The 6,774-nt window shown below is 42.6% G+C and overlaps 1 long non-coding RNA gene across 1 annotated transcript; it reads right to left on the reverse strand.

Moving 5' to 3' along the window:
- Positions 1-4,486: 4,486 nt before the first annotated feature.
- Positions 4,487-5,907, reverse strand: LOC105371640 (uncharacterized). Its single transcript, XR_922337.2, has 3 exons — positions 5,843-5,907; positions 5,027-5,167; positions 4,487-4,737 (listed from the first exon to the last, which is right to left on the reverse strand). It is a non-coding gene; the product is annotated as an uncharacterized LOC105371640 (long non-coding RNA).
- Between the last annotated feature and the right edge of the window lie 867 nt (positions 5,908-6,774).

Genomic DNA, 6,774 nt, shown 5'->3' on the forward strand with positions numbered 1-6,774 from the left:
AGAGTTTTGCACTATTGCAATCAAGTCCTGTGCCCCCACCCCATTCCAGCTGCAGGAATTGAAGCCTTCTACTCTCATGCTTTGTATTAAAATTTTGACTAATTTATCTGAGTCTGTAATTTTCTCTCAACTACTCATTCAACTCCAAGTAACTTATAACTATTTTCCCTCATTTCTCAAATGCCTGAGACACTGCACCAGACATTCCACCCAAACCCACACCAGCTCATTACAATGGAAATCTTAGCAATCACACTGTATAGCATACCAGGGATTAATTCTCCACCTACCTCCACCAGTGGGGTCCTCATTGCCATCCAGCCAGCAAGTGAATTAACCCTAGAATCCATCTCCAATGCCAGTTGTCTTAAATTGGTTTCCTAAGCAGTGAGGACTGAGATGAAGATTCTTATGCTTGATTGGGAAAGTGCTCCCAGGATAAGAGGAGTGAAGGCAGCAGGACAGGACAGGAATAGGAAACTTAAACAAGAGTGTGGTCACGGCTGAAGACTAGTTTTGGTTTGATTCTACAGGGAAGCGCAAGTTGCACCACATATTAAGCCCACTTTGAGGTAGCGGGTAGAGAGCTCGGTGGGCAGGCTTTTGTACTACTGTGTCTGTTACAATTGGCTGTCCTGGGAGGTGGGGGGGTTTCCTCCCAGGAAAGGAGGCTTCTGTTTGGCTGAAGGCTAGTTCCTAGTGGAGGCACAGCTGAGAATTATCAGCAGCCAACACAAACAACAGCAACCAGGAGATATAAAGAGGCCTATAAAGAGGATCTAGGTGGAGTACAAAGCTAATCCTTTACACTAATGAGTATGTACTATATGATAAGCTTTCTTTCCTTTTTTTTTTTTTTCTTCAGACAGAGTCTCACTCTGTCACCCAGGCTGGAGTGCAGTGGCATGATTTCGGCTCACTGCAACCTCTGCCTCCTGGGTTCAAGCAATTCCCCTGCCTCAGCCCTCCGGAGTAGCTGGGATTACAAGCGTGTGCCACCACACCTGGCTAATTTTTAGTAGAGATGAGGTTTCACCATGTTGACTAGGCTGGTCTCGAACTCCTGACTCCAAGAGATCCACCTGCCTTGGGCTCCAAAAGCACTGGGATTATAGGTAGCCTAATGATAAGCTTTTTAAAAATTGACTCTGTCATTTAAACTTCACAACAATTCCATGAAGGAGGTATTATGATTGTATCCATTTTAGAGACAAGGAAAATGAATCCTGAGAATTCAAGTGACTTTCTCATGGTTATACAATGAAGGGCCATGTATTCAGGTGTAATAATATCATAGATAAAAAGGCATATCTCAGTTTCTGCATGTTTTAAATGGGTACATGCAGAACCTATCTCTGTTTATATCTTAATGTAGGGACACTAAGGTTAGCCAACTGGATTCATATCCTGGGTTTTAAGTGCTTTACAATAATAGTGCCCTTAGAATTCAATTGTGAATCTTATTCCCTAAGTATTGTTGATCTTACGTATTGGTTTTATGTGTGTGTGTATCAACTCAGTTACTGGCAATATTCAATTAATTGAAACACTATATTTACCAATTACCTTGGATAGTCATTGTTAAAAATTACTAGGAAATTCTCCATTAAGTAATAAAAAGGCCAGAAAACAAGTCTCCATACGGGATTAATAATTTATTTGGCTTTGGGCTGTGTGTTAAGCACTTTACATCCATTTTCTCATTATGAAGTAAGTACTAGCATCACATCCCAATGCAGATAAGAAAACTGAGACTCTAGGGGGTTTGTTAACTATTTTCAAATCACTGAACTAGGAAGGGATGGGTCTGAGAATGAAACTAAAACTACTATCTGACACCAAAACTAATATTGGACATTTAATGAGAAAATGGCTTATCTTAGATTCACATATATAGACACAATTGGTGATAAGAGAGATCAGTATGGGTAAAGGAAATTTTCCACCTTCTCAGCTTTCTTTCACATGAGCCAAATCTGAAGGCTATGAAGGAGATGGAAAATTTCAAAAAATACTCATTCACCCAGCACATCACTGAGCAGGAGAACATTTCTGAAACAAGAAAGAAGAATCATTAATAATGACTTGCTAAAATAAAAAGTATTTTTCTAGAGGCAGTGCCCTGAGCTGACACAGAATTGAGTGACTCTGACTCCACAGCTTGGATTAAATCATCAAATTGGGTTCTCTGGCATAGAGGAGGATGAAGTTTTGTGCAGGGGTTCGTATCTATTACTATAGGAACCATGCCAGCCACCTGCCCTCAAGGGTGGCTTCCCCAGAATGCTACTGAGATTTTCTTTGCTTTCTTTTCTGCTCACCACCTCCTACCACCAATGGAGAAGACAAGTGCTGAATCCCTCTGTGCTTTGTCTCCTGAGGCTACTCTGAAAAAGGAAGCAAAGCTGTCCCTCTGTTGGCAGAAGTCTACTCCTGTTGTCCTCAGATGTTACTTACCTTTCTAGACATCAATTTCCTCATTTGTGAAGTAGGAATAGTTCACTCCTTTGGATTGTTGTGGGGATGAAATTATTTTATACACACACACACAAAATAGCACACACAACACTATTTTGTGTGTGTGCGCATGCACATACATGCGTGTCTAGGACAAAAACATTTCTGAATAAGTTCAGATACTCTCCCCATACCTCACTTTATTAAAAGTAGAAGAACTGAAGGAAGGGAATATTATTATCCTGTTCAAAACTCATATTGATTCTCTACAGCCTACGAGATTAAGAACAAACCCTGTCCAATATTCAAGACCTTCCTTGGTCCAGTCCTGGATTCCCTTCTCAGCTACCTTTCCCATGATGCTGCATCTCTCGCTAGTCACTGAACATGATCTGCACTTGCTGACCTTTATGCTTTTCTCATACCTTTCTCTCTACTTGCACCAGTCTCTCTAAATTTTGCCTAAATCTTATCTACCAGTTTAGTCTCAGAATGTGGGAATTCTATATAAATCAAATTTCAGGAATAGTTATGGGTAATAGTGTTTCATTCCATCAATGTAACTTATCATTTGCTGTGGGCGAAACTCCAGTTTAAGAATGTTTCTTAATGTTATCAAACCATCTGTGTATAACTTGATGGATTTCTACAAGGTACACATGCTCATATAACTATCTCCCAGATCGAGAAATAGAGTTTTAGAAATACCCAAGAAGCCTCCCTTGTGCCCCTTTCTAATCTGTACCCCCTTCTTCAAAGGTAGGTGTTGTAGTGATATATCATAGGTTGGCTTTTGTATTTTTAAAAATTTTATATAAATGGAATCATACAACATATATTCTTTTGTGTATGGATGATTTTGACTAGTGTTTATGATATGTATTCATATTTTTACATATAGCAGTTCATTATTTATCATGGCTTCATAGCATTCAGTCACATAAAAATACTACTACCATTTTATAGTGTTAACAGGCATTTTGGTTGTTTCCAATTTGGAGTTATAATGAACAATGTGATATGAACATTTTTATATTGATATTTTTGTCTACATGTGTACATGTTTTTGTGAGCTATATATAGGAGTGAAATTGCTAGGCATAGGGTATGCCTAATTTAAATTTAGTGAATACTGCTAGTTTTCCAAAGTGGTTGTATCTGTTTACACCCCCACAGAATATAGAATTTCAAGTGTTTTCTGTCTTCACCAACACTCATTATTGTATGTCTTTTTCATTACAGTCATTTTAGCAGATGTACAGTGGTGCTTTATTATGGTTTTTTCATTTTCTGGATGACTAATGATTTTGAGCTCCTTTTCATGTTTACTGGATATTTAGTATTCTCTTCTGTGAACTGCCTATTCAAATTCCTTGCCCCTTTTGCTATTGGGTTAAGACTGTATAGCTTTTATGATTTCAACCCATTATTGCTGTATTGTCCCTCAGTGATTAAAATCTTACCTGTCTTATAGACCCTTTTATATAAAGCATGTGTAGAATTTCATCAGTAATTGTTTTAGAGTCCCTCAGGGCAGCCTAGAGTTGCGGCTTGAGCAGAAGGATCTCTGAATTTTGAACCTATAAGAGTTCTTCTGATATTTTATCTGACTCCAGTAAAGAAAGTTTGTTTTTTTAAAATTATGTATAGTGAGTATTGAAAATTAAAATAAACAAAATGAATGAATCCAGGTATCAGTAGATAAAAAGTTTATTTCACAGACTTACCTTTTTAAAAAGATACGTCAAAAAATATTGAGATGGGATTGTTCCCTTGACCTTGACTCCCTTCATGGGCGGGAACTAGGGTGGCTCGGTTCACTCAGCCTGCCACTGGCCACTCCTCACAAGAGGGAGTGTGTGAGAAAGTGAGCGCAGGAAACAGAGGGAACAAATGCTGGAACCAGCCGGTCACTCCTGTCTGGCAGAAGCAGGCTCTGTGCAGGTCCTGCAGCAGCATCCAAGCCCCTGCCCTCTTGGCACCCGAGTTCTTGTCTGGCGCCCAGGAAGAATCAGGTCACACAAACGGATTGAAGGGTAGTATACACGGAGGATTTTATTGGGCAATAAGCGTGGCTCTCAGTGGGATGGGGAATTGGAAAGGAGGTAGTGCAGGAAGAAGGTGATGTTTCCCTGAAGCCACACCATCTGAAGTTAGCCATGTCTATCCTTAGTCTCTGATGTTCAGTTGCTGCTTCTGTGCTTGACGCTCAGCCACTTGTATCCCCGATGCTCAGCAGCTTGTGTTCCTGACGCTCAGCAGATTGTATAACTCTGCCAGCTGAAATATTTTTGTGAACACAGGAAAGGGGCGTGGCAGGCCAAAAAAGCAACATTTGGGTGGAAAAACAGGGTCAGCTGTTTTCATTTAGGGCGATGGTTCCAGGCTTAAGGGTGGGGTTTGGCCAGGATCCCAGCCATTCTAGATCAATATGATAATTGACCTCTAGGCAGGGGATAATGGCAAATAGGAGGCAGGCCTAACTTGCATCTCCCACTTAGATGGACAGAATAGCATGTGGAGACTCACATTGTGAACTTTTGCTCCAAGAACCACTGGAGAAACATACCATGAAAACCAAAAGAATTCACAGACCCTTTGAAAAAAGCAGCTTGCTGCTGTAAACTCCAGGAGGCAGCTGAAAAACTGCGGGTGCCCAAAGCGCGAGGCGGGAGAGGCTACCTCTGAACACACATCCTCACTGGAGAGTCTGAAAATCCAGATCACAGGAGAAGAATTTAACCTTACCTAGAGCTGAAACGAATTTAGAAAGCTGGGAGAAATATAAAAGTAGAAGCAGCAGCATGAAGAGCCCTGTAGGCACTCCCAGGCCCCAAGAAAGCCCAGGGAACCCATTTCTGACTTTTATCTCACAGAAGTCCTTGAGGAGGGCTGTCAGTGGAGTTGGGGAAGGACCACAGGGAGAAGGAAACTTCCAGCTGCTTTGTAATAATTTCAACCAAGCATGAATTTTCCAGGGCAGAATCTGGGGGTGAATGGGAAGTGCAATCACAGAAGCCATGGTGAGGAGGGGCAAAACCTGAAAACCCTGCTTGCTTTCTTGGGCGCGGGGTTGGGGGGGTGGGGAGGGTGGCGGCGCTTGTAGCCTGGAGCAAGTTCCCAGTCCTGCTTACCAGCTGCCTGGATATAAACTCGGTGCTGTTGGGGGAGCATGGTGGGAGTGAGACTGGCCTAACTGGCTGTGTGGGAGCTGGGTGGGGCCTGTCACTGCGGCAACCTCCCACTTCCCTGGTGACCTGCAGCCATAATCCCCCTAGGGATATAACTCCGTCAGTCTGAGAAACACAGCCCCATCCCCACAGTGGCCACAGCAAGCCCCACCCAAGGAAAGTCTGAGCTCAGACACACTTAACCCTTCCCCCACCTATGGTCTTTCTCTACGCGCTGTGGCAGCCGAAGTCATAATCTCTTGAGAGCTCTATGGCACCACCCACCACCTGAGAAACCCCAGTATTTATCTAGGCTACCCTAGGGCAAGCTTGTATCCTTCCTATAATACTGCAGCGGATGCATTCTTCAAAGCGCCACCTCCTGGCTGGAGGCCAACCAACACAAACCATTACAGCAACTCATAAAAGAATAACCCTTCCCCAAGAAAGGAGAAAACAATAGCTAACTCCACTGCCTGTGACATCCTGGCTAACTAGAGGTCCTGAGTCTGTCCACGTGACAACTTTACTGCCAGCAAAACCAGCATTCGAGAACACCTGAGCATTAAACAAAACTACAACTAAGGTCCCACACAGAGTCCACCTCACTTCCCTGCTACCACCACCAGAGCAGGTGCTGGTATCCATGGCTGAGAGACCTGAAGATGGATCACATCACAGGACTCTTTGCAGACACTCCGCAGTACGAGCTCAGAGCCCAGTAGGCCCGCTGGGTGGCTAGACCCAGAAGAGAAATAACAATCACTGCAGTTTTGCATTCAGGAAGCCCCACCCCTAGGGGAAGGGGGAGGGCACCACATCAAGGAAGCACCCCATGGGACAAAAGAATCTGGAGTGCAGCCCTTGAGTCCCAGATCTTCCCTCTGTCATAGTCTACCCAAATGAGAAAAAAACAGATAAACAATTCTGGTAATATGACAAAACAAGGTTCTTTGACACCCCCAAAAGATCACAGTAGCTCACCAGCAATGGATGTAAGCCAAGAAGAAATCTCTGAATTTCCAGAAAAAGAATTCAGAAGGCCAATTGTTTTTTCTGATAAATACAGTTTTATTCATCTCATGATATTTCTAGGGATATTTTTATGTACCTGTTATATTTTAGCACCCATGATAGCCACACCCTA

The sequence above is a fragment of the Homo sapiens genome, chromosome 1 (genome assembly GCF_000001405.40).
Source record: "Homo sapiens chromosome 1, GRCh38.p14 Primary Assembly".
NCBI lineage: Eukaryota > Metazoa > Chordata > Mammalia > Primates > Hominidae > Homo > Homo sapiens.